This window comes from Homo sapiens, chromosome 4 (assembly GCF_000001405.40).
Source record: "Homo sapiens chromosome 4, GRCh38.p14 Primary Assembly".
Taxonomy (NCBI): domain Eukaryota; kingdom Metazoa; phylum Chordata; class Mammalia; order Primates; family Hominidae; genus Homo; species Homo sapiens.
The window spans coordinates 4760546-4787374 of NC_000004.12; the positions used below are offsets into that span (position 1 = coordinate 4760546).

At 47.5% G+C, this 26829-nt stretch overlaps 1 protein-coding gene and 1 long non-coding RNA gene across 9 annotated transcripts in view, besides 7 other annotated features; both read left to right on the forward strand.

The window, feature by feature from the left end:
• LOC124900165 (uncharacterized) overlaps positions 1 to 12030 on the forward strand; it is a 230445-nt gene extending 218415 nt beyond the window's left edge. For all 8 annotated transcript variants that reach the window (XM_047416490.1, XM_047416488.1, XM_047416489.1 and 5 more), the window contains one exon: positions 1 to 12030. In XM_047416490.1, the coding sequence (XP_047272446.1) occupies positions 9472 to 10383 (912 nt within the window). In that variant the 5' untranslated portion in view covers positions 1 to 9471 and the 3' untranslated portion in view covers positions 10384 to 12030.
• LOC101928279 (uncharacterized) lies at positions 1215 to 26829 on the forward strand. The gene is made up of 3 exons (NR_125892.1): positions 1215 to 1522; positions 3696 to 3908; positions 24965 to 26829. It is a non-coding gene; the product is annotated as an uncharacterized LOC101928279 (long non-coding RNA).
• Positions 1971 to 3170: an enhancer, noted in NCBI's record as "P300/CBP strongly-dependent group 1 enhancer chr4:4764243-4765442 (GRCh37/hg19 assembly coordinates)". NCBI's record gives its function as "activates an origin of replication core promoter dependent on BRD2, BRD4, P300/CBP, MED14 and CDK7 cofactors, with strong dependence on P300/CBP, by STARR-seq in HCT116 cells {active_cell/tissue: HCT116}" and the evidence as "EXISTENCE:reporter gene assay evidence [ECO:0000049][PMID:35650434]".
• Positions 1971 to 3499: a biological region, named in NCBI's record as "P300/CBP strongly-dependent group 1 enhancer GRCh37_chr4:4764243-4765442".
• Positions 2425 to 2961: an enhancer, noted in NCBI's record as "NANOG-H3K27ac-H3K4me1 hESC enhancer chr4:4764697-4765233 (GRCh37/hg19 assembly coordinates)". NCBI's record gives its function as "activates a minimal SCP1, AML or CMV promoter by ChIP-STARR-seq in primed H9 embryonic stem cells {active_cell/tissue: H9 hESC(primed)}" and the evidence as "EXISTENCE:reporter gene assay evidence [ECO:0000049][PMID:30033119]".
• Positions 2596 to 2905: an enhancer, noted in NCBI's record as "active region_21232". NCBI's record gives its function as "activates an Ori minimal core promoter by ATAC-STARR-seq in GM12878 lymphoblastoid cells {active_cell/tissue: GM12878}" and the evidence as "EXISTENCE:reporter gene assay evidence [ECO:0000049][PMID:35858748]".
• Positions 2962 to 3499: an enhancer, noted in NCBI's record as "NANOG-H3K27ac-H3K4me1 hESC enhancer chr4:4765234-4765771 (GRCh37/hg19 assembly coordinates)". NCBI's record gives its function as "activates a minimal SCP1, AML or CMV promoter by ChIP-STARR-seq in naive and primed H9 embryonic stem cells {active_cell/tissue: H9 hESC(naive and primed)}" and the evidence as "EXISTENCE:reporter gene assay evidence [ECO:0000049][PMID:30033119]".
• Positions 3076 to 3215: an enhancer, noted in NCBI's record as "active region_21233". NCBI's record gives its function as "activates an Ori minimal core promoter by ATAC-STARR-seq in GM12878 lymphoblastoid cells {active_cell/tissue: GM12878}" and the evidence as "EXISTENCE:reporter gene assay evidence [ECO:0000049][PMID:35858748]".
• Positions 19986 to 21185: an enhancer, noted in NCBI's record as "CDK7 strongly-dependent group 2 enhancer chr4:4782258-4783457 (GRCh37/hg19 assembly coordinates)". NCBI's record gives its function as "activates an origin of replication core promoter dependent on BRD2, BRD4, P300/CBP, MED14 and CDK7 cofactors, with strong dependence on CDK7, by STARR-seq in HCT116 cells {active_cell/tissue: HCT116}" and the evidence as "EXISTENCE:reporter gene assay evidence [ECO:0000049][PMID:35650434]".

Sequence of the window (26829 nt, forward strand, 5' to 3'; positions counted from 1 at the left end):
GGAATGATGGTGGTCAAAGAAGCCAGGTAACCCACAGATCCCAGTACCCACAGATCCCGGAAACAGCCCCTCCAAACCACGGAGCGGAGTGAAGGAGGCAGTGTCCAGATCGCAGAGGGCTTTCATGCCCACTTTCTCCCAACGGCCTTACAAATGACCCTGGCAAGGCATGCATTCACCCAGGTCAGAGCTCAATAAATACTTGTGGTGTGAGTAAATGAGCCCCAGGTTATAACTGGGGAAATTGAGGCCAGGAGAAACCAGGTAAAGTCATAAAGAAGAGCCAGAACCCCACGACCAGTCATCTGATGCTCCCTCCACCCCATCACCCCTCAAGGGCCTCTGCAGGCAGCAGTTTAATCTGAAGCAAATCCTAAAATAGTCCTCAAGAAGATGAGCACATCCCAGCTCTAATTCGCCCTCCAAGTGCCTCGAAAGATCTTTTCTAACAAAAACACAGAAATGATTTTTACAATCCAACCAACCATCAGCTCCATGAACCTTGAGAGAGACGGGAAGGCAGCCGCAACCTCTGCGAACTGAAATGTATTGTCAGAAGGATGTAATTACAAGTATTTATGTACACTGATTCTGAACCAGAGAATCCCGGGATGGCTCTGGGGCCAAAAAAAAAAAAAAAAAAAAAGAGAGAGAAAGAGGGAGAGAGAAAAAAAAGGCTTAAAAACTCCTGACAATGAGCAATTCTTCATGGAACAAAACTATTACAATAGCCAGCCTTTGATCTTGCCCGTCTCCTGTTGCCAATTGTATTTTGTCACCATTGGACTGTCACCCGCGAGGGAGCACTTTTGAATTAAGCAGTCTACAGCAATTTAGTCTGCACTGGCTTTGAAGTGCCAACATCAGTCAGGCCAGGACTAACTTTTTTCATTAAAAATTTTTCAGCTTCTCTAAGGGAGCTTTTTGCCTTTTTTTTTTTTTTTTTTAAGCCTGCCGGGACATTTAGATAAGTTGAGCCTCCAACCCGTGGCCCCAAGACATCAAAAGGCGCGGGGTCCAGTAATGCTGGAGGCAGCCATCACTAAGCCCTAATGGAGTGCTTCATTAAGATCGCTTCAAAGGCCCCCGTTTACAGACTCGGAGATTGACTAATTTACACATTGTGGGAAAATTGCTACCAGCTCTGCCCACACCCCAGCAGGGGGAGAGACGCCCTCTTTCTTTGAAAGGCAAGAACTGCAAAAGGCCCCTCTAATTGCAGACTGGCCTTTACAAGGGAAAAACCCAGGCCCTGCCCTAAATTTTGCATTCGGCTGCCTTAGCACTCTGCGTCCTCGCACCGACCCTGGGGTCCTGTTTGTCCGGAGACAGCGTGGCACCAACCCAGCTGTGTGTGCTTTGGAGCTGGATACTCCTAAACACGTTTGGGTTTGAACTCCAGCTCTGATCCTGCCAGCGAGGAGCCTTAGAGCAAGTGACTTAACCTTCTGGGCCTCAGTTTCCCTCATCTGAAAATGGGCGTGATCAAGTCACCTCCCAGGGATATTTTCGAGGATGAGAGGTAAGGACGGCAGGAGAAGCTCAATGTGCTGGCTACTTTTACCTTAGCGTAAACATATAAGAGAGCGAAAAGGCATCCCTGAAACTGAAGCCATGTTTTCACAAGCTGTCTTCACGGCTTATTGATTATTTGAGATGTTTGCACACAGACTGGGGCATGAGGTCCATAGATAGGTGCGGGTCAGGCCCGTGGCTGTTTTGAGAACTGTGTTATGTGGCCTCAATGGCAGCACGTAACAGCATCAATTCATCTATTAATAGTTTTCCTTTGTCGTAAAAGCAAGTTGGGAAGGGCGTGATGAGGCGAGCTCTCTGGGATGCTGTCATGTGGATTCACCCACGGGTCTGAAACCAGGGCTGGCTATGGAAGGTTGGTCACCAGAGGCCCTGTGGGAAAAGCACCAAGCTCAGGGTGCAGTCACCCTTCCAGTCTGGCTCTGTCCCCAACGTCCTGAGCAACACCAACCATGCCGCCTGTCCTCTCTGGTCAGCAGGGTTCTCCTGGGACTGAAAGGGCAAGGCCTAGGTATGCCCAAAGCCTCCTCCCCAGCCTGATGACTCGGGGTCTTCACCCCGCTTGAGGCCTCAGCATCTCTGGGACCTTGTGAGAGATGCATGTTCATAGGCTGCCCGGCCCTCCTGAATGGGAATCTGCATTTGGAATGATCCCTGGTGATTCGGGCACACAGTAAAGTGGAGGAGCTCTGCCCCAATGCTTCTTTGGCCCAGGAAAACACAGTGATGCTTGTTTCCTCAGGGGATCCAGCCCGGTGACTTTGGCCTGGGAAGTCATGATTTTTGGGACTAACAGCCTGGCAGGCCCCTTGCCTACCACCCAACTGGGACTCATTGTGTTTACATCAGTGTCATGCAGCTTTACTCTCTAGGGTCATGTGGGGTCCCAAGTGAGGTAAAGGAAACTGCTGCGTCATTCATCGAGCACCTACTGTGTTCAGGCATCCTGCTGGGTGCAGCGCACCTGGTAAGTAACTGAGATTGTGAGTCATTTGGTCTTTTGGTTGAGTCATTGAGGAAGAGATTGAGTGACTGGCCCAGGGTCACACAGTCAGTGAGTGGCCTCCTTCCAAGCACCCCCTGCACCACCCCCTGCACCAGGCTGCACAGAGGAATCCCAGGGTGCCCATTTCTGGAGGTGCCCCCCCGAAGAGGCTGGTTAGATGGGGACCCAAGGGGAGGCCTGAACTGCCACGTCCTCCGGTATTGTCCCCTTCCCCTCTACTTTCTATTTGCCCATCTTCCTAATTAGAGGGAAAAAATCTACACTCACTTCCTCTATTCAACCTTTCACTTAAAAAAAAAAAATGCAACTCCCACCCCCCTGGTTCCCAGCCTCGAAGGGAAGCCACCCTGGCCAGGGGCAAGCATCGCAGCAAACCACTTAGCAAACCGCAAATTTCAGAGGCCTCGTCACATCTGCATTTTATCAGCTTTTTCCGGATAGTATTACCCCGAGCAATTGTCTGCAGATCGGCCGACAGCTGAGACGTTCAAGCTCTGAATTACGGAGAAAGGGCCGGAGATAAAGCCGAGCACATGTATCCCATCAAAGTAATGAAAGCCGCCTGCCGCCAGGACGCCCTGCTGCCTCCTTCCTAGCCGCCCTGCCGCCCCGCAGGAAGGCTGATTAACCCTTGCGAGGCAGGGGAAGAAGAGCAGCGGTCATCCAATACTCAGGCTAATCAGGGTCCCAAGAATGGGAGGGAGGCAGAGGGGGTGGGCCGGAAAGAACAGCCATCGCAGAGGGCCACTCTGACCTCAGGATTAGACCTGCTGCATTTCCTGTCACAGGACTTTGGTGGGACGGCAAAAAGGTAGATGAATAAAGGACTTGGTGTCCACAAGGTCCCAGAGACACTGCCTGGGTATTAAGCATTCCTAGAGGAGTGAGGGCAAGCAGTTTCCTGTGAGTAAGCCTTGCCTTGCTGTGAACGGATGCCATGTTTGCAAGAGTTGGTAATAATGTTTGCTGAGCACTTACTGTGGACTGGGCACCTTTGTTCCCCTTGCTTCCTGTCCCACCCCATGGTGTGCTATGCCTGGAGCTCACTGCATTGAACTCCAGTGTCTCCTAGTGAGCGGTGGATGCCAGGATGTCCCCAGTCCTCTGCTCCCATGACCAATGCTACTTGGGTATCCATGTTCTGCTCTTCTAGGGGCCTATGTGACAACTTCCCTGGCATCCATACCTCCACAGCCCAGAGTGGGGTCTCCGGGATGTGAGCTGTACCCAGGCCTAACTTACGTCCGGACTGACCAGCACGCCTTCAGAAAGACTCTCAGGTTTACAGTACACGAGAGTGCACAGCTCTCCAAGACATTCCAAGCAATGTTACTTCATCGACTTATGGAAATTTGCCTTTCTCATAGTAAGTCTAAAGCAACGCTGCTGCTTTAAAAACTACCAGTCCTTTTTGCTGAGGAGTTCGAACATCTCGTTATCCTTGTTAACCGTTTAGACCTCTCTTCTGCCTTTCACAACCTGTGGCTATTTTTCTATCAGATCTTTGATGTTTTTCTTATTGTTTGGTAAGAGTTCCGTGTATATTCCAAGTAGTCGCCACTCACCAGTTTGACTCTTTGCAGCAGCATCCCGTGAGTCCTCTGTCTGCTGCCGTGGCCGGCGGTGCCCTGGGTGGACGGGAATCCTTAGTTTTCACGCAGTCCAATTCTTCATATTTGTCTCCTTCTGTCTTGTGCTCTTAGGGTCTTTTGGAGTAGAGTCATTCCTTTTTAGGCACAAAGATATCTCCTTATGCTTTTTTGATTGGCTTTATTATTTTAGCATTCACATTTAGGCCCGTAATCCATCTGGAGCGCACCTTTTTTTTTTTTTTTTTTTTTTTTGAGACGGAGTCTCGCTCTGTCGCCCAGGCTGGAGTGCAGTGGCGGGATCTCGGCTCACTGCAATCTCCGCCTCCCGGGTTCACGCCATTCTCCTGCCTCAGCCTCCCGAGTAGCTGGGACTACAGGCGCCCGCCACTACGCCCGGCTAATTTTTTGTATTTTTAGTAGAGACGGGGTTTCACCGTGTTAGCCGGGATGGTCTCGATCTCCTGACCTCGTGATCCGCCCGCCTCGGCCTCCCAAAGTGCTGGGATTACGGGCGTGAGCCACCGCGCCCGGCCGGAGCCCACCTTTTGAAAGGCTTAAGGAAGAGATTATCCATTTTTATTGAAGTAAGACAGCTCTGTCTGATGCAGCATGCTGTTGGCTTAACTGGACCTTTGATTTCCCAGCAGGGACCTCAGCTTGCTCTGGGGCCTTGTCCTGCACCCCAGGTTCCCCATCAATGTCTTGGGGTGGGGAGCATCACTTAAAGTCTCATTTCCCTGCCACCTTCTCCACTTCCATAAGCTGCTGCATAGGTTTGGACATCTTCTCTCTGTTTTGTATTCAACCACAATACACACAAACTAAAGGAGGCCAAGATGATAGAAGATGGTTCTGCAGTTAGGACCCCTCCCACCCACCTTCAACCCAGCATTGCAGCCTCGTGTGCATCCTTGCCAGGGATCTTTGCCATTGCAGATCCCTCTGCTGTGAGGGCTTTTCTTTCTTCAGTCCTTCCCATCTGATTGGCCATCTCTCCCCTCAAGAGTCAGCTCATTTGTTCACCAATCTGTGTGATCTGTGCACTAAAGAATAATGGATATGCTGTATCTGCCAGAGTTTTCTGGGGAAAAGCAACACAGATGGACGCCAGCAAACCTCATGCAACAAAAGGCGCTATTTCCAAGATTTGGAGTAGCTCACAAAAGTCAAGAGAAGTTGAACCATCAGGCTGCAGGAAGACAGGAATTGGGTAGCTCTGGGTTTCTACAGAGCAGGAAGTAAGGGGAGATCAGAAAACCTTGGTGTCAACTCTTATCCCGCCTGGTGTCGCTCTCTCATGCCTGAAGTTCTCAGCAGGGAGCACAGAATTCGTTCAGCTTGGGTCATGTGCTCAAAAAGGGTCAGACACCATGACTGACCCTCCACCAAGACCGCTTGCAACAGGAAGGAGCTGGCTCCTGGAGGAAAACAACTCGCAAGGCTTCTGGCAGCCCAGACACGGGTCATCCCTGATGGGCTCTTTATCCCAGCTGTGGCCTTGATGAGTGCCGGACCCCTACGTGGGTCCCACAGTGCCTGCTCAAGGACCTCACAGCCCAGTGGAGGAGGCTAGTTAAGTAGAAAGTGCTCGAAACAAGGTAAAGAGTGCTGTGACAGAGGGGGCACATGGGTAGGACCCCCTAACTCCAGGCGGAGCATCAGAGAAGGCTTCCTGTAGGAAGCAGTGCTGTGCTGGGCATACACAGAGCTGCAGGAGCTGGTTGAATAGAGAAGCGGGGGAGGGTGTTCTGAGCAGAGGGTGAGCAAAACACGCAGTGAGAAATAGACAAGCAGTTGATGTGGGAATGCATTTCCTCCTGAGTAACAGAGGGGTCCTGGAATGTTCCATGTGGCCTCAGGGTCTCTGGGGCCCCACTCAGGGTTGGGTTGGAGAAGGCTGAATGCTGCGTGGAAGGAGATTTCCTATGTTTCTGATCTGGCTTGAGAGCTTTTTGATGGCTGGGAGGGCCGGGTACTCTTTCTTAAGACATTGATATAACAGCCCCAAAGAGCTGACTTGATCATCAGGGCCAGACCCCTCACCTCGGAGTAGATGAGAAACTCCAGATGAAGGGGAATCTATCTGAATGACTCATCTTTTCCTCCCCTGGGACTCCAGAAAGGATCTGCACTATTCCATTTCAGTGGCAAGATATCTCCGTCCTCTTCTCTCTGCCATTTCCAGAGAGCTCATTTGAGACACACTAATCAAAACCAACCGGGTCATGTTACAGAGGGGAAAACTGAGGCCCAGAGAGAGGAAATCCTGGCCACAGTCTGTTCCTTGAGTCTCCTTGTTGAGCTTACAGAGGGTCAACGCTGTGGGGTCAATGCTTGTGTTACAAAAAAGTCACATCCTACCTTCATTTGAAAACCATGTTGTTATCCATTCACAACCACCAGGCTGGCTAATTTTAAAAATGGAAAATAAATGTTGGTGAGAATGTGGAGAGATCAGAACCCTTGGGTGTTGTTGGTGGGAATGTAAAATGGTGCATCTGCTGTAAAAAACAGTTTGGTGATTTCTTAAAAACTTACACATAAAGCTACCATATGACCCAGCAATTCCACTCCTAGGTATATGCCCAAGAGAAAGGAAAAGCGATGTCAACACGAAAACTTGCACGTGAATGTCCATAGCAATGCTACTCTCTACTGCCAAGAGGTAGAAACAGATGTCCATCACTGATGAATGGATAAATAAAATGTAGTCTATTAAGGCAATGGAATATTATTCAGACATAAAAAAATGAGGATCTACAGTGTGGGTGAACCTTGAAGATATTGTGCTAAGGGAAAGAAGGCAGACACAAATGGGTAAACATTGCATGATTCCATTCATATGAAATTTCCAGAATTTGTCCAAGAAAATCCATAGTGGAAGACAGCTGATGAGTGGTTTACAGGGACTTGGGAGAGGGAAGAAGGAAAGTGACTGGCGAATAGGTATGGGGTTTCCCTTTGGGGTGATGGAAATGTGTTGGAACTAAATAGTGGTGATGGCTGCATAGCATGTGAGTTTAATGTACTAAATGCCATTGAATTGTACACTTTAGAATGGTTACTTTTATGCTAGGTGAGTTTTACCTCAATAAAAATTAAAACCAGGCTGGTTGCTTACACCCGTAATCCCAGCACCTTGGTTGGCTGAGGCAGGAGGATCACTTGAGCCCAGGAGTTCAAGACCAGCCTGGGCAACATAGGGAGACCTTGTCTCTAAAAAAAAAAAAAAAAAAAAATTTGCCAGGCATGGCAGGCGTACCTGTGGTCCCAGCTACTTGGGAGGCTGAGGTGGGAGGACCAGCTGGGCCCAGGGGGTTCAAGGCTGCAGTGATTCTTGATCGCACCTCTGCACTCCAGCCTGGGCATCACAGCGAAACCCCAGCAACCCCAGTCTCTAAATAGATAAATAAAACCATGTTGTTTATGTCTGAGGAACTTTTGAATGCCATTCTTACACTGTGTCGATAGAGGATGATGTGAAGTCGCAGCGGAACACTTACCAGTGTATGCCCGGTTCTGAGCCCTTACAGCTCCTCTAGTTCTCACGGCAGCCCTGTCACAAAGCTATCCTCATTATTACCATTTTACAGAGGGGGAAACTGAGGCCCTGAATGATAAAGCAGATAGCCCCATGTCATCAAGGAAGGGTGGAGCTGGGATTTGAATCCAAGCAGTTTGGCTCCAGAGCCCATGCGCTAAAGCGTCACAGTGAGACCCTGACTTCGAGTAAGAACCCACACCACTCTGAGCCCTGACACTGCAGTGTGGATCAGAGGACTAGGGTGGCGGTGAGAATGGATACCTGGGCCTTAAAGCTGCTCCGCCAGGCCCAGAGCCACCCTTCCTCAAAAGTGCCTTGCTTGGGCTTGGTGGGCCTTGAAACAACAGTTTGAGGCTTCCTATCCATCCCCAGGGGTTCCCTGGGTAATCATGATTAATGCCAGAACTAGGAGCCGGGTGCACTCAGGGCCCTGCTCAGTGATTGGCCCTGTGATCACCCACCCCGGCCCCTTGTTACCGGCCCCTGCTCCATAGTGGGCAGCCCGTGGATTCCCTAATGAATTCTGTCAGCCCAGCGTGCAGGAGATGGACAGATAGAGAGGCCAAATCCCAAAGTGGATTTATAAGTGGAAATCCAGGGATAAATGCGGGGTTGGCGTAGGTGAGGGGAGTTGACCACATCCACTGCTAAATCTCAGATTCCAAGAGGAGCTTAATTCGTAAGGCTATGTGCTAGAAAAGTCTGCATTAGCCACTTTGGCGTGAGTATATCTCTAAAACCACTAATGAAATTGTGCTTTGGTCAATCAACATTTCTGGGGCCAGTGGCATGGGTAATCACTGGGCTTGCGTTGTGCTTTTAGACAGGGAAGCCAATGTGGTCCCTGGTACACGCAGTTTTCTTCAACACCGAACGTTTGTTTTTCCATCTTGTGGGTAGTGAGCCTTTCTTGAGCCAAAATATATGTAGCTCACCCATACAACTTTATTTTGTAGAAAAGGGAGGATAAAAGCTCCATTGACCAAGCATCCGTCTCCTGCCACATTCTGCCTGAGGCAGGCCCATGTGGATTATTGCTTGAATCTGGGAAGTGGTTATTCTTGCAGGTGGGAAACTGAGGCTTTGGGAGATGGGGTACCATGTGCAGGGTCACAGAGCAAGTTGGGGCAAAACAAAAAACCCGATTCAGTGCTGTGAGCCTGAAAAGTGAGTTCTCTCTGCTTCACCAATGGTTCCCAGCAAGTGCCGTGGACCCTCAGGGAGCTGGAGAGCTGAGACTGTCTCAGAAAGCCGGCTTTGGAGTGGATGGGGTGTAGGGAGTGAGTGGCAGGAGCTAAGTACAGGGCAGGATGGGGCCCAAATGCCTTGCTCAGTGTCTGCAGTGTCCATCAACCTGTTTCCCTCTCCTGGCCACCTGGGAGAGGACTCTGGAGTTTCTTGGATTCTGGAGGTCAAACCATCAGGCATGCACTTCCAATAAGGCCTTACACCTGCACATCAGTTGAAACTCCAAAAGCTGCACAGATCTTTGGAGGACACATCCTGGCATGGCCACTCACAAGCTGTGTGACTTTGGGGCAAGTTGCTCAGCTTTCTTCTCCTACAAACTTAAACCCTGATCTCAGTCTATTGTCAGCCTAGGAATAGCTGCAATAACAAAATAAGGAAAAGAAAAGAAATTACTATTGGGATGGATGGAAAAGAATACATCTCAGCCATGTACCAGCTGTGTGCCCTTAGTCAAGTTACTCAGCCTCTCTGCGCTCAGTTTCCTTACCTGTAAAATGGGCATATTTTACCTACTTTGAAGGTATTGCCTGTCATTAAATGAGATGATACATTTAATGGCATTAAATGAGTGCTCATTAAAGCACTTAGCAAAGCTCCTTGCATATGATGTTCAAAAAACTGGCTGTTTTATTGACACCATCATCATCATCAGTATCATCACTGTAATTACCATCATTGTCACTGCCATGATTTCCACTACCATCACAGTTAGCATCAGCATTATCATTTTCATTACCATCCTTATCATTGTCATCATCATCACCACCATCACCATCACAGCCACGATCTTCACCAACATTCCCATCATAACCATCACCATCACAGCCACGATCATCACCAACATTACCATCATCACCATTACCACCACCATCATCATCATAATCATTAGCATCACCGTCGTCACCACCACTATCATTACCAACATCACTACTGTAACTATCACCATCACCATCATCACCATTACCATCATCATCATCATAATCATTAGCATCACCATCATCATCACCACCACCATTACCAACATCACTAATGTAGCTATCACCATCACCATCATCACCGTTACCACCGCCATGATCGTCACAATCATTACCATTACTATCATCATTATCATCATCATCATTATCACGATAGTTACCATCATCATTGCCATGGTTTCCATTATCATCACAATTAGCATTAGCATTATCATTTTCATTACCATCCTTATCATTGTCATTATCATCACCATCATCACCATTGCCAACACCATCATCATAATCATTATCATCACCATCATCATCACCACCACCATCATCACCAACATCAACATCATAACTGTAACCATAACCGTCATCGTCACAATCATCACCATTACCACCACCATTGTCATCACCATCATTTCTATTATTGACATCATCGATTGCCATGATCATCATGACAATCAGCATCATCTTCATCATTATCGATTGTCATGATCATGATCATCATGACATCAGCATCATCTTCATCATTATCATCCTTTTCGTCATCACCACCACCATCGTCACGACCACCGTTATTACCATCAGATGGGCTGTTGGTGTTTCCATGGGACAGATCTGTCATAGTAAGTCTGAGTGATGGTTTAGGACTTGAAGCTGATTTTTTCTGGCTTGTGGTAGTTAAAAATACTATCCTGACATTCTCTCCACTGTTTATTGTTTTAGAAAATCTATTAGAAAATTGCTTTCTTCCCAGTATGGTTCTCAATTAGCCAGCATCAGGATTTTCCACTGGCATCTCGGAATGTTCTCATCAGAAACCTCCCGAAAGGCATGATCGTTGAAGCTGGGAGATTTGCCCAAAGGCTGTCTGGGCACAGAGTTTCTAATGCCAATATTATTTGCTCATGCCCAGCTCTTTCCAGCAAACAGAGGCCTTTCAAACTATTAATATATAAACCAACAGCACAAGCACTTTGAAAGGAGAAGAGTGTGGGGGCAGGGTGCATTCATCTATCCGAGCTGCCATGACAAAATACCAAGGACTAGGTGGCTTAAACAACAGAAATCTATTATCTCACCGTTCTGGAGGTTGGAAAGTTTGAGATCAGGTGGCAGCAAATTTGGTTTCTGGTGAGGGCTCTCTTCCTGGCTTATAGATGGCTGTCATCTCACTGTGTCCTTTCCTCTGTGCTTTCGTAGTGTTGTGGGGGGTGGGACAGTGGGCAGGGCGGGGGGAGAGAAAGGGAGAGAGAGAGAAACCTGGTGTCTCTCTTCTCATAAGGACACCAGTTCTATCGGATTAAGGTCCCACCCTTGTGACCTCACCTATCATTTATTATCTCCATAAAGGCCCCATCTCCAAGTATAGTCTCATTAGGGTTGAGGATTCAATATGTGAATTGGCCGGGGGACACAAAAAAGTCCATAAGAGGAGGAAAGGGCATATTAATGAAGCATGTGCCATGTGCCAGGCATTGAACCAGGCACTTTCGTAGATACCATTTCATTTGAGTCTCAAGAGGACTCCGTGAGGCAGGCAGCATAATCTCCATTTTATGAATGAGGAAGCTGAGACCTAGTGAGTGTAAGCAAATTGTTCAATACCACACAGCTAGTAGGACCTGGGTTTTTAGTTCAGGTCTATCTGACTTCAAATACCACACCCTTTTTTAATATCAATTATTCTCAGCAAATGGCCCATGGACCCCTGGACATTCTCTGAGGTCTATGAGGTAAAATCTTGTGTTGATAGTAATATTAATATTGTATCGTAATGTTAGTATTAATACTAATACTACTAACACTAAGTTATATTTTACTCTGTTGACTAATCACTGATGATACAAATCCAACAGTGGGGAAAACCGCTAAGGCTTAACTCGAATCAAAATGCTGGCCCCAAACTATGCTATGCCATGCCATGCCATGCCATGCCATGCCACGCCACGCCATGCCATGCCATGCCATGCCATGCTATGCTATGCTATGCTATGCTATGCTATGCTATGCTATGCTATGCTATGCTATGCTATACTATGCTAATAGTTACGGTATTGTTCACCATCATGCAGTCAGTAAAACATAAACACATAATCTTCAATGAAGCAATAAAATTCGTTAAGGATTGTCAAATCTCAATCTTTGAGAATGTCTTTTCAGCATTCTGTGTGACAAAATGGGAAGCCTGCATAAAGCACTTCCACTGCAGATGGAAGAAACACAGTCGTGCAGTCATTTGAGTGGTAAGCGAAACTCACTGCCTTCTTCACGGAGTACCCTTTTTATTTGAAAGAATGATTGACAGGCTAACCATGGTTATTCGGACTTGTGTTTTTGGTAGACAATTTTTTTTTTTGAGAAAAGGACACTAAGTTTTTAATAAGGGGAACAAAAAATTGTTTTCACCAGTATAGATTCACATTACAGTACACCAATATTGACAGCATTCTCTTGTCTATTTTTGGTACAGAAGATGGTATCTCTCGGTAGACATTTTTTGAGAATGAACAAAGTGAGTCTGTTGCTTCAAGGTGAACAGCTAATAGTGTTTATCTGCAGAGAGATCTGAGCCTTTTTTTTTTGAGACAGAGTCTCACTCTGTCACACAGGCCAGAGTACCGTGGCACAATCTCGGCTCACTGCAACCTCCGCCTCCTAGGTTCAAGCGATTCTCCTGCCTCAGCCTCCTGAGTAGCTGGGACTACAGACACACACCATCACACCCAGCTAATTTTGGTGTTTTTACTAGAGACGGGGTTTCATTATGTTGGCCAGGTTGGTCTTGATCCCTTGACCTCATGATCCACCCACCTCAGCCTCCCAAAGTGCTGGGATTACAGGCGTGAGCCACCGTGCCAGGCCGAGATTTGCACTTTTAACAAAACTTAGAATTTTAGAAAGCTTGTATCCATCATTGTGAGCTTGTTCTCCAAATTTAAAGACTTTTTGATGATAGTATTAGCGAATGTGCTTCCTTTTGATGTTGTAAAATTCAGTGTGTGAACATTTGGCAGATCTTGTAAGTCAGTGAACCAGCATTTTCCAAGGACTAATGCTGATGTTTCAGAATCTCACATAGGCAAAAGATACCTCCAAAGTGCTAGACAGACTAATGGATTTTAATGTGACAAAGAACAAAATGTTCACTGATGTGTTTTCAGGTTCCACATTAAAATACTATACTACTGCTTGTCAAGTTTTTTGTGGTATCAAGAAATTATCTGAAAAGCCTATAAAAATACTTGTCCTGCATCCAACAACATATCTGTGAGGCCAGATTTTCTTTATATACTTCAACCAAACAATCTATCTCACAACAGATTGCAGAAGGAGATAGGAGAATTCAACAATCCTCTAGTAAACCAGAAGATAAAAAATTTGCAAAAATATAAGACAATGCCACTCTTCTCACCGATTTTTTTTTTAATAAAAACAAGTTATTTGTGTTAACGCATACAAGTTTTGTTATTATGGTTTTTAAGTGAATTAATATTTAAAAATATTTTTAGTTTTAATTTCTAGTGCTGGTAGATTTAGTACATAAGCAAAAGCAATTTAGGGGTCCTCAATAATTTTTAAGAGTACAAACGAGGCCAGGTGCAGTGGCTCACACCGGTAATCCCAGCACTTTGGGAGGCTGAGGTGGGCGGATCACTTGAGGTCGGGAGTTCAAGACCAACCTGGCCAACATGGTGAAACCCCATCTCTACTAAAAATACAAAAATTAGTTGGGCATAGTGGTGGGCACCTGTGATCCCAGCTACTCAGGAGGCTGAGGTGGGAGAATCGCTTGAACCTGGGAGGTGGAGGTTGCAGTGAGCCAAGATCACACCACTGCACTCTAGCCCGGACAACAGAGCGAGACACTGTTTCAGAGAGAAAAAAAAAAAAAAAAAGTACAAAGGAATCCTGAGATCAAAAAAGTTGAGAACCACTGGTTAGTCCATTTTGCAGTTGAGGAAACGAAAGCTGGGAGAGGCTGGCGATGTGGCTGAGGTCGCCATGCTGGAAAATGACCCAACATGATGGCAAGGGCTGGTGATGCGCTGCCCAGATTCCCCAGCTGTTGGAAGATGGAACTCAGCTGTTGGCCCTCTTTGGGGATTTTTTTGGCTGAAGAAAACTGAACCTGTACTTGGGCTGGAGTTATGCAAACTCACGCCCCTTTCCAGGGTCAGCTCCATCCATGGCCTGTCCAGCTGGGCATCAAGGCCTGGCCTCTAGTCCCAGCTGGGATGGCTCTGAAGGGTCATCCCTGATACAAAACCCTGGGGAAACTGCACTGCAGTTCCATGCCTTCCTCTGCTCAGCCTGCTCCCTCCTCGCCCACCCCATAGGTGTGGAGCCCTGGAACATACCCTAAGAACCATCCTGCTCACTTCCTGGGGGACCCACTGTGACAGCCAATGGGAATGCAAACTGGGCACCTCAGACCCCAGTCCCAGGCTCTTCCGCTCGAGGAAGGTCTCACATCAGCGGAGGGTTTGGTTGACACTGAATACATTTGTCCCATCCTTGATTTGCAAGCCACCACAAAGTCAGCTCCTGATACTCCATTGTTTGATCGACGGGGCGAGGGAAGCCACACAATATTCAGGATCCTTCATACTAGTGGGTCACTTGAAGAAAAGACAGTCCAGTAAAGTGCTGCCTAAAGGGAACTGATTCATTACCCAACTTTTCTCTGTGTACCTCCTGTGTGCTAAGCATCTTGCCAGACCCCAAGGAGATCTGTCCCCTTTCTGAGAGGAGCCAGGGGATGGGGGAGAGAAACCTACAGCTACAGGAAACCATTCTCTGCTTTCCAGTTGAGTGTTCTTTTCCTGAGAACCCACAGTCTACAGTTTGAGGTGTAGCTTCAGAAGCCAGCACTCTGGTCCTCAAACACCCCTCTGTGACTCTCTGCCTCAGTTTCCTCACCTATAAACTGGGATAGTGATGTACCTACCTCCTAAGGTTACCTTGAGGAACAAAGAACACGTAACAAACCTTTTGCCGATGTGAGCTATTATTAGAACTTCTCTATCCAGCCCAAGTCCAGACCCTGCATCGGGGAGATTTTAGGTCGTCTGTAAAAGGATGGGGAAGGGTATTCTGCTGTGAGGGGCCAGCATGAGTGAGGGCCTAGGGCTGGAAAGTGTGTGGCTCCATTAGTCTACCAATGTTCCTCGAGCGTCTGCTCTGTGCCGGGTCACACACCAGGCAGGAGGAAGCAGACTTGGCGCCAGCTTCACGGTGCTAACAGAGTTATGCTGGACGTGGCATCAAGCAAAGCACTAAAATAGTCACTGTGCAGCCGCCACCGTGGCTATTCAGAGAGTGAAGAGGAGGGGAGGGACTGGCTGGGGCTGAACTTAGGCCTATGTGGGGCTTTGATGGGATGTGGAGGGAGAGGGGTGGGGAGGGCCCGGACCAACTACAGTCAGCTCTGAGTTCAGTTGGAGGAATGCAGACCTGATCCTCTGCTGGCACTAAGTAGCCTTCATCAGGTTCACAGCTCTCCTCTGCCTGGGTTTGAGAGACTTCAGGGTCAAGGACAGAGCACCTACAACTCAGAAGAGCAGCTTTGAGCCTATAATTCTGGCACTTTCTACCTCCTTTCAAAGTGCATGAGAGATGAGAATTGAGCTCTCTAAATGTGCTTGTGTATAAGAGGGGAGTGGTTATCTGATCAGAACCTCGGTCTCTCAGAGGTAGGAGAAGCCTGTGCAGCCATTCCTGGATGCATGAATCCACCCTAGGACTCCCCAGACACAGGTACGTGCAGCCCTGCTTGCACATCTCCAGCGACAGTGAGCTCATTACGTCGCTGGAATGTAGCTGGGAAGCTCTCTACATTCTCCTGCTGAGGCTAAGGCCTTCCCTTTGCTAAAGGTCTTCTTCCTCTGTCTCTTGCTTTTATTGTGACCGATTTCCCTTCCAGACTTGCTTCTGGTTGACTTTCTCCTTATGTTTTGCCCTTTTACTCTTCTGCTTCCTTCCTTCCTGTGTTCCCCAGGCCTCCCGCTCCCGTGCTTTCCCTGCATCAAACCCCTGGAGTCCCATTCACTCACCGTTACCTGAGCCTCTCCTGCATGTCACAGGAACAGAGGTGTTAACTGGGTCAATCCTTGCTCTCACGAAGCTCATAGTGCACTGGGGCCCTGCCCACGTGGTGGATGAGGTGTGAGGGGCGAAGGAGAAACCATTTATAAATAAATCTCTCCTAGCCAGAAGACTGGAGAATCACAGCATGAAATGAACACGGAATTCAAACCCAGATCTGCCTGAGTGTGGACAGATCCCGTTTCTCCTGCCCCTGTCTGTGTACACCAGTGACTTTACTTTTCTGAGCCTCAGTTTCCTCACCTGGAAAGTAGATAGATTACGATCTACCTCTCTGGCCTGTTGTGAGGATAAAATAAAGTCTGGTGTGTTAGCCCCTGGCACGCAGTAGGTACACAGCCCCAGTAAGTTGGGGTCCTCCTGTCCAAAATCAGCAGGGCCTTGGAGCAGCTCCCGAATTCTAGCACCTGGCAAGTGGCTGGTGGGTCGGATTAGGGACATATGTTAGCAACTTTCTGGTCAGCAGAGGTCGGCCAAGCAATTGGCTCCACCAGACTCTGGGCTTCCTTAACCAATTTGGACACAAGAAACAGCCACAGCACAGACCTTGGCGTTCCTCATGTAACCCCAGCTCCCACATACCCAGGGAGGAGCCGTAGCCTCCAATGGTGTGGCCAGGCTAATCAAAGAGGGCCAATGTGCGCTGGGCAGCTGCTTCTAGAGGTGAGCCCATGCTACCACTTGAAGGCCAGTGTGGCTGAGCCCGGTCCCTCATGCCCAGCTGTCTAGGGCCTGGGGCCTCTCCCCACCACCTGAAAGGCTGGGCCTGTGCTCTGGTGTCAGATGCACCTCGATTTAAACTCCCTGCTGCCATTTTCTAGTTGTGGTCCTCTGGGCAAGTCACATCACCTCTCTGACCTCAGTTTCCCCTTCTGTAAAATGGGAGTAAAACGATGCACACTCCACTGAATCACTGTGAGGATGAAATGGGAGAAAGGATACTTAGCACTGCACAGGTGGTCATTTGGGAAATGCTATTTATTAAGGTGAGTTTTCCCACGAAGGCCAATGCCAGGAACAGAGCTGAAGAGAATCTGATCGCTCACATCTACAGGAAATGATAAAAAATGGAGCAGGACCTAAAACCATGCCCAGGGGGTAACAGTGAATAGCTGGCAAGGCTTGGCCTGGCAGTGGGGGGGATGCTGGCAGGTGGGAGGGGCTCAGCACATACCTGTTGACTAAAGGAATGAGAAGTCACTCAGGAGGACTTGATCTCTGCCTTCAACTACATGTGAGAAGGAAAAGCCAGCTTCATCTCTGAGGGGCTAAGAGGCAGATCAAGATGAGAAAGATGTGAGGAGGCAAGGCTCAGGGTAAGGAAGTCTCCTCCTGCAGCCAGGGCAGTCCAAAGATAGAGAAAGAAGCTTCTGGGAAAGTGAGCTCCCCGTCACTGGAGGTGTGTAAATCTGGTTGGAAGAATTGTAGGCAGACATGTCATAAAGGGATTCCTGCACTGGGTGGAAACTTTATTTCTGGGATGTCCAAGGTACTTTCCAACCCTGAGAGCCTATGATACTAGGAGAAATTTTTTCTTCCAACTCCAAGATTAGTGAAGGTAGCCTAATGCTGTTGCCAACAACCTCGTCACTCATTGCTTCATGCTGTGGAAGTGTATTTCTTGGCCAAGTAACAGCTCCATGCAGGTACTTACCAGTGGCCTTCCTCCAGGCAGTGACTCAGGCATCAAGGCTCCTTCCACCTGTGGTTCCACCTTCCCTTGAGTCTCTGAGTTCTTAGATGGATCCTGTGCATAAGGCTACACAATGTGGGAAAAGAAAAAGTGGAGGATCACACGGAAGATTTTCACCGACCAACCTTAGAAATGGTGCACTTAATGCCTCCCCATAGTCCATTGGCCAGAACTGCAAGGGAGGCTGGAAAATGCAGTCTAGCTGGGTGCCCAGGGGAAGAGGAAGTGGGCGTGGTGAGCAGCTAGTCACTACCTTAGGAGCTGGGGCTCTCATTTGTGCATTCATCATTTATCCATCCAGTGAGCGCTCAGTGAGCACCTACTGTGTGCCAAGCCTGTACCCTGGGATATAAACATGAATCGGACACAGTCCCCTCTCTGGGAGTCCACACCTAGGTTCGCAGCCCAGGCACATCCACCAGCTATTGCCTGCAGTTTGGCAGTGACAACCATGATCTAAAGACAGGATAACTGATGACCTTCATCCTAGCACCACCATGTGATATGGAAATGATCTCTCGGGCCCATGCCCTCATCTGTAAAGCAGGAAGAATACTACTGAGCTCAAAGGATGATGCAATACAAGCAAAGCATGGGAAGCCCTCTGCAAATGGGAGTGAATATTCCCTATGTCCACGTCCTCCAGTATCAGTCCTCTCTGAGTGTTTTGGGTTGGATCAGGAGATGCTGGGTACCACAGTACAACAGTGGTGGCCTTCCGCACACCCCGCAGTGTGGGGAGTGAACATGAATTTAGTCAGGGATGTAGGAGGCTTTTGCCCTTAAATCCTTGGCAGGTTGGTAGTGACCCCTCTGTCCTCACAAACAGTGGCCTGAACAGAGGTGCCCAGTCCCAGCTCCACTCACTTCAAGGACTGGAGAGGGAAGAGTCTGAAGGGAAAAGTACCTGGAGCCAATGTGTGTATTCCTCCATCCCTCAGCGCATCAGCCTCACTGGAAAGAATAATCCAGGGCAGTTTCTCTTTTATCTCAGAGCCTAAGCTCAAAGAGTTGCATTACACAGCCCTGGGGGAGTTTTCCCAGAATGGAAAAGCTTAATATCAGAGAGGTTTAGCAAGCTTCCTGCTGTCGCAGAGCTGAGTGGAAGAGCAGGGATTGCCACCCAAGTTGGCCTGCTTAATGACATCTTTAGGGACATGAGTGTCAAACTCCCAGGGGAAACCCTGGTTCTAGCTCAGCCATTTTTGCCTCCTGTGTGAGCACTACTCACTTTCTTTGAAAACAGAGATGACAGCAATGTCTTCCCATCTGGAGAGATCAGTGAGAAATATTTTGTGTAAAATCTTGGCCCCAGGTCCAGCATGTAGCAGAGAACAAACTGGAAGGTGGTACGGTAAGGTAGTTAGGTGCATGGACACTGAGAGTCAGCCTCCGCCGCTTAGTAGCTGTGACAACTTATGCAAATGCATCTTCTTTGCGCTTCAGTTTGCTCATCTGTTAAACGGAGGTGATGAAATACCTAGTAAGCATCACGTACGCATAGTTTTATTCTCATCTGTACATTGATGAGGTTGATTCCTATTAGTTTGTTAAGCTACCTACTCTTTGCAAATAGATAAGATGAAGGTGTCTTAAGCTAGAGTTTTGCATTTTTACTTTATGGTGCCTGGAAACGAGTCCAGCAATCTCAGCTCTGGGAAGGATGTTTGAGTAGAGAGAAGATTGAGTCTAGGAATTCAACTTCCTCCACTTTACTGATGGGGAACCAGAGGTCCAGAAAAGGAAAGGGGTTTACCCAGGAGCTTGCAACTCACTCAGTGCTACCCTTGTACGCTTTGCCCACCTCTTTCTGTCTTAGAAAATGATGCCAAGCCTTGGTTAATGTGTGTGATGGAAACCTGCAGAGGCTCTGATGAAGCAGTCCTGGGCCATGACGGGGAAGCCTTGCGTGTCCGATGTTAGCCTGGGCTTTGCATTTATTCTCAATGTGAGTCTCCTTTCTTCTTTCTGTCTTATGCCTCGCACATCCCCTCTCAGGCTAAGGCAAACAAGTTGGAGAATTTTAGAATTGTAGCCACATAGACCCTCAGGCAGCAAGAGGTTCTAGACTCCACATTTCAATCCTACAAACATTTATTATATTAGGCGCCAGACCCCGAACTAAGGGGATTTAGTAGTAAATAAAACAGACATGGCTTCTGATCTCGCAGTCATGCTGGGAGACAGACGCTAAACAAACACAAACAGGTCTGGGCTGGGTCATCTTCAGCAAGTTGCCCCTCAAGCCTCAGTTTCTCCATTTATAAAATAAGGTGAATGACCCCTGCTTCCCAGAGTTGACCTGAGGATAAAATGAAGTGGGTTGAGACATAGGCCACCACATTAGTAGACATTCTAAAAAGTGGAATTATTTCCTGCTCTCCCTGATTGCGGAGGGAAAGACTGCACTTGGGTTTCTAAGGCTCCTCGAGTAGCTGAAAAAGAAGAGGGTGATACAAATAAACAGAAGGGCGTGCTCTGTGCCAGTCCGGGCCAGGGCCCTCTTGGCATGGCAATTCCACTAGGTCTGAGAAGCTGAAAGCAAAGGTTATTAGCTGAAAATGCACCACTGAGCCTGTTCGTTCTCCAGATAATCCAGTTTATGTATCTGATAAAATGGGATCAAAATGAGAAACACATTTCCAAAAGGAGTTGGAAACAGCATTGTCCTTCCTCCAGAGCATTTTACAACTGCAAAATCACGGTGATTCATGACTATTTCACATGATCGATCCTCAAGCAGCAGCGAGTGCAGCACTGCAGTTACCCAGACCAGGGGTGGACTCCAGCTCCACCACATGGAAGCTGGGCAGCCATGTGGGCGAGTCACAGCTTCTGTGAGCCCTGGTTTTCTCAACTATGAAAATGGAAATAATCATATCTGATGAGCAATGCTACTGGCATGTAATTGAAACTCAAAGGGAACTTCAGAATGTAAGCTTATGAGAGAGAAGATTTGGTCTATTTCGTTGTGATACCTGCAATGTTAAAACAGTACTTAGAGCATACTAGGTGCTCATTAAAATGTTCATTGAATGAACAGTACACAACAGTGCTCAGCAAATACTTGTTGAATGAATAATTGAATAGACATAATCATATAAGTATGTCTTTCTAGCCTCACAGCATTTCCTGGAGATTTTTGTTTGTTTGTGGGTTTTTGTTTTTGTTTGTTTTTTATTTTGGTAGCTGAGACATTTCGACTCAGAGAGGTGAAGTAATGCATCCTGGTCCATGCACCTAATTAGGGGCTGCCTCTTACCTTTGAACCCAGTTGTGTTTGGTCCCATATGCCTTATATTTTCCATTGCATCTAGAAGTTTCTTGGAAGTTGTATCAATTAGGAATGCTTTCAACAGTATCTTAAGCTATAAAGCGTAACAGTAGCTTAAGCGATAAAGATGGACTCCTCTTCCACGAGGAGAAGTGGCAGATGGCAGTTCAGGACTGGGGCAACAGCTGAGCATTGGCATCATGGAACCAGGCTATTTCCAGCTTTCTCTTCTGTCATACTCCACCAGATGGCTTTTTGTCCTAATGGTTGTTGCTTTATGGTCACAAATGGCTGCTACAGCTCCAGGCATCACAACCAAGTTCAAAGGCGGGAGGCAGGAAGGAAGGAGGGGGTGGCGAGTTTCCTGAAGTGCTTTCTTCTTATATCAGCAAAGGAAAAAGGGAACCAGAGGCAGCTGTCTCAGAAGACTTTCCTTTAAGCCTTGCTTGTTAGTTTGGCCACATGGCCAATCCTGGCTGCAAGGGCGGCTGGAGAAGTGGACCTCCAGCAAAGATGGACGGGATGGCCAGAGTCGCCCAGGCCAATCATGATTGTTCCACAGGAACAGGCTCACTGCTGCTCTGAACAAAATTGGGGCCAGATGGTGAGGGGAAGGGAAAGGGGTTGCTCCCTTCGAGTTTCAATTACATGCCAGTAACATTGCTCAGCAGATATGATTATTTCCTTTTCATAGATGAGAAAACCAGGGCTCACAGAAGCTGTGACTCGCCCCCTCGGCTGCCCAGCTTGCGTGTGGTAGAGCCGGAGTCCACCCCTGGCCTGGGTAACTGCAGTGCTGCACTCGCTGCTGTTTGGGGGTCAGTCACATGAAACATTCATGAATCACAATGATTTTGCAGCCGAAAGGGAAGGGAAAGGGGGTATGGAAGCCCTGACCACACCGTCATTTAACAATCCAGGAGACCAAATCCAGTGTGACTGCCCAAGGACGGGATCTGGAGGAGATCTAGCTTTGTACTGATTTTTGGAAGCAATCTCAGTGGGCAGGGTTCCTAGAAGGCGCCCCACATGAGAGTGTTGATGTTCTCTGCGTGCTGACACAGCATTCTGCAGCCAAGCAGGAAGGGAGAGTCCCCTCATTCAGTCTGCTTTCAGTTCTTCAGATCACATCTTGGAGAAATGATCAGTAAGTGCAATGAGTGATCCTTGATGATTGCTGGAATTTGCAAAGAAAAAGGATCTAAAGAGTATGATTGGGTTAACTGGGAGGAAATTTGAATGTAGATTAAGAAGTACATGATAGAATTGAATGGATTTTAAATTTTCTGGGTGTGAGAATCATTGCTGTGGTTATGTAGAAGAATGCCCTTGTGCTAGGAGATATGTGCTGAAGTATTTAGGAGACAACTCATGTTTGTCTCATACTTGTCTACAAATGGTTCACAAAAAATATGTGTGCGCTTTTGCACACGTGCCCACATGTGCGCGCACACACACACACACCAGTCGCCCCTTATCCATGGTTTCGCTCTCATGGTTTCTGTTAGTCTCAGTCAAACAAGGTCTGAAAATATGAAATGGAAAATTCCAGAAATAAACAATTGATAAATTTTAAATTTTGCAATATTCTGAGTGGCCGTGATGAAATCTCATGCTGTCCCACACCATCCTGCCAGGACATGAATCATCCCTTTGTCCAGTGGGTCCACACTGGAGATACTACGTACTGTTAGTCACAGAGATCGTCTGCTCCTGACATCCAGCCATCGACATCATCCTGTCTTTATGATACAGGATCACCCAAAGCAGGTGTTCCTTCTTCCAAAGCATCATCAGAAGGTAACAGCAGCCTAACCTCCCTTCATCTCATCACGCAGGCGTGTTACCAACTCACATCATCACAAGAAGAAGGGGGAGAGCAGTACAAGAAGACACTTTGAGAGAGGGAGAAAGCGTTCACATAACTTTTATTATAGTAGATTGTTATAACTGTTCTATCTTCTTATTAGTTGTTAAACTCTTAGTGCACCTAATTTATAAATTAAACTTTATCCTAGATATGTATAGGAATAAAACATAGTATATATAGGATTCGGTACTATCTGAGGTTTCACGTAGCCACTGGGGGTCTTGGAACATATCCCCTATGGATAAGGGGGCACTGCTGTAATCAACTGTGCACATATCTGTATATATACACATACATATAAATACATATACACATATATATACACATGCAAAGAGAGAGAGAAGAGGGTGAGACAGAGAAAAAAGCAAATATCAGCGTTAACATCCAGTGCATCTAGACTCTAAAGAAAGGCCATATAAATGTTCGCTGTGTTATTCATGCAACTCTTTAGTAGGCTTGAAATTTTTCAAAATAAAAAGTTGGAAAAATAATAAATTAAAAATTTTAAAAGTGAGAAAGCTTAAAGAAAGTATCAAGTAAACACACAATGTGTTAGTGGGCATTAAACCGAGCCCTGCTGTGGGGCCTCCAGGTGGCCAGTAGATCCCACATTCCAGCGTCAGTCGGCCCCAGGTCTGAGTCCCTCCTATGCCAGATGGGGATGAGGTCGGTCACGGCCTCACAGGTGTGTGGTGAGCATTGTATGAATGGCATGCGTAGAGTCCTCGGCACCAAGCCTGCACCAGAAGCCAGGTTTCAAAGAAGGGTGACTGTGGTGTGGGTCCCTGTAAGTACTACTGGGCTTGGCACATGGGAAGCAGGAAATTGGATGTAACCTGTGGGAGACCCGAACCTGGTGACTTCACCTGTCTGAGTCCCTCCAGAAGGGGATAGCTGGGGATTAAAGGCACGAAAAGACCCCCCACCTTATCCCCACCACACACACACACACACACACACACACACACACACACACACACTCATATCTCCTCTTCAGGGAGATCCTGTCCATCAGCTGAGGAGTTGGGGCTGGGTGAGACAGCTGGCCTCTGTGCACTGGAATGGAGCTAGTTCCATTTTCCAGTCCCTGTGTCCCAGCACTGGGGTGCCCCCTCCTCCGGGGCAGTGGCCAGCGCCTGGCAGCTCAGAGGAACAGAGAGCTCCTCTTCCCTGGCCCTCTCGGGCAGACCTGACAATCCCCACTGCTGCGGGGAGGCTCTGCCATCCTTGTGCTAATCCCATTACCCACAAATGAAGATGTAATCACAGCCCTTTCAAAGGGCTCCCAAAGCAGATCCCTCTTTGGAAAGAGAAAAGCAAGTGCAATTGTCCGAGCCACTGACTTCTGAAGCTCCTGCTGGGAGGAGGGGATGCAGAAGTTATTTGGGGCCAGCAGCCTCTCAGCTGGGAAGGGACTGAAATGGCGGTCAGGGCAGAGACAGCCCGAGTGTGGGTGACTAGTTAGGACCAGGTGGTGGGGTGAGGTGTGCAAGGGGCTGAGGCCTCCCAGCTCCCACACTGACCTTACTGCGACCTCGCTAGAGCTACAAGCCTATGCCCTGGGATATAAACATGAATAGGATACAGTCCCCTCTCTGGGAGTCCACGCCTAGGTTCATACGCAGGCACATCAACCATACCTCTGTTAGCACCATGAAGCTGGGGCCAAGTCTCCTTCCTCCTACCTGGTGTGTGACCCAGCACAAAGCAGACACTCGAGGAACATTGATAGACTAATGGAGCCACACGCTTTCCAACCCTGGGCCTTTGCTAATGCTGGTCCCTCACTGCAGAAGATCCTTCCCCATCCTTTTACAGATGACCTAAAATCTCCCCCTTGCAGGGTCTGGACTTGGGCTGTATGGAGAAGTTCTAATCTTTACTGTAACCTCAGCTAGAGCTACATAATTTCAGCGCCTCCCACTGTGCATCTTTCAAATGGGTGCAAAGGTCTTATCTGATATGTTGCTGAGCAGCTGTGTGTGGAGGTGAAATATAAATGGTGACATGGGCACAGATGTGAGGGCCCCGTTGATGTCAACGTCACATTATATGAACAGTAGTAAACTTTCCTCAACACTGACTACATGCCCGGCACTTTTGTGATGCTACTTTCATTCCCATTTTACAGATGAGGAAACTGAGGCACAGAGTGGCCAAGTGACTTTTTCAATATCATAGGGCTGGAGAATGGTGACTAGTTTTAATGGCCAGCAAAAGCAGGAACAAAAGCTACCATCTGCTTGGAAGCGTCGTTACTTTTGAACAGAAACTCTGGTGTCTGGCAGACAGCAATGAATTCATCTACTTTTGCATAGGAGTACGGTTATCTTGCCCTTTGACTGTGCCCTTGTAGGCCAGCAGAAGTTCTGAGATTCAAGGTGGATGAAGGGATTGAACCATGACCTGGAGTGGAAAATGCATCCTTGGGGCTAAGTATGTCCTGTGTGCCCCGGGCCTGGGCTCCACGTGGCCCTCACTGCCTTCTAACAATCATTGCTGGCTATGTGTGAAGCGCCTTGTGCTAGGTACTGTCCTGTGTGAAATCAGTGGCATGCTGGGAAATGTCTGACAAACAGCCCTTGGAGATAGAACTCCCATCCACAGTATTTCTCCTCCATGGTGTAAATAATCCCACTTCCCACCATGGTGGATCTCAAGCTATCAATATGAGATTATTGACAGGGAATTGGGAGGGGTTGCACACAACTGGGTCTCCTGTGTGGCTCCAGTGCACTGATTCTTAAGAACTCACAGCACCCTGATTGGGGGACAGCACTTTTATTATGCCAGTTTTATAGATTAGAGCATTAACTCATGGAGAGGTTAAGACAAGCACTTCCCAAGATCACCTGTCAAGTAAATTCTGATGCTGAACCCTTGTCTCCAGGAACCCAGATGAAGATGCTGCCCTCTGAGCAATGGCCTGTGTCCAGCTCCTCTCTTCCTGATCTTCTCAGGGCCAAGTCTACCCCGAGTTAAACTCTACTCTCCTTAAGGGCAAGAATCCCAGCACAAAGCATGAGCACCAGGCACACACTAAGCAACAAGGAAATATTTGGAGAATTGAATTGAATGCTTTAATTTCAGTTGGATCAACAACCTTGTCCAAGGTCACACAGGGAGGCAATAACAGAGCCCATGACTGGAACCCATGACTGGAACTCATGATTGTTGACTTTGGATATGAACCTTAAGTAGCACCTTCAGTGTCAATTCTGAGATTACTGTCACATCCAAGCATGGACATGGAGAGTTCTGTTATTCCTGGGAGGGGGCAGAGGGGCCGTGGCTTTGTACTTTGCATTTTCAATGCACCTTTGTCCCCTTTCTTTGGTCATGAAAAGCATGACCCAGCACCTTGTATGTGTTGGAGGCTGGGCAAGACCAAGGGCACCTGGAGGGTGGAGGTCTGAGATTTATGGGATACTTGATCATTTTCAAGATTTTTTTTCATTTGCTGTGGACTGAATGCTTGTTTCCTCTCAAAATATGTATATAGAAGCCCTAATCCCCCATGGGGTGGTATTTGGAGATGGGGCCCATGGGAGCTGGTTAAGGTTAGATGATGTCATGGAGATGGAACCCCCATGATAGATTTTGCTCTTGCAAAAGGAGAAAAAGACAGGATAGGTTTCTCTCCACTGAATGAGGATGCAACAAGAAGATAGTCTGCAAACCAGAAGAGCACTCTCAGCAGACACCAAATCTGCTAGTACCCTGATCTTGGACTTCCCAGTGTCCAGAGCTGTGAGAAATGTTCATTGTCTAAGCCACCCAGTCTATGGTATTTTGTTATAGCGTCCAAATAGACTAAGACACATGATGTAAGTGTTTCCTAAAGTAGCATTGCACTGGGGGCAACCAGTGTAACATGGTTGGTGATATGTGAATGAACCTTTTAAAATGTTAATACTTTTGCATTTATTTTAATATGTGTTAAAAATATTTCTGGTGTATTATATCAGAAATAGTTTTCACTGCAAACAACAAGAC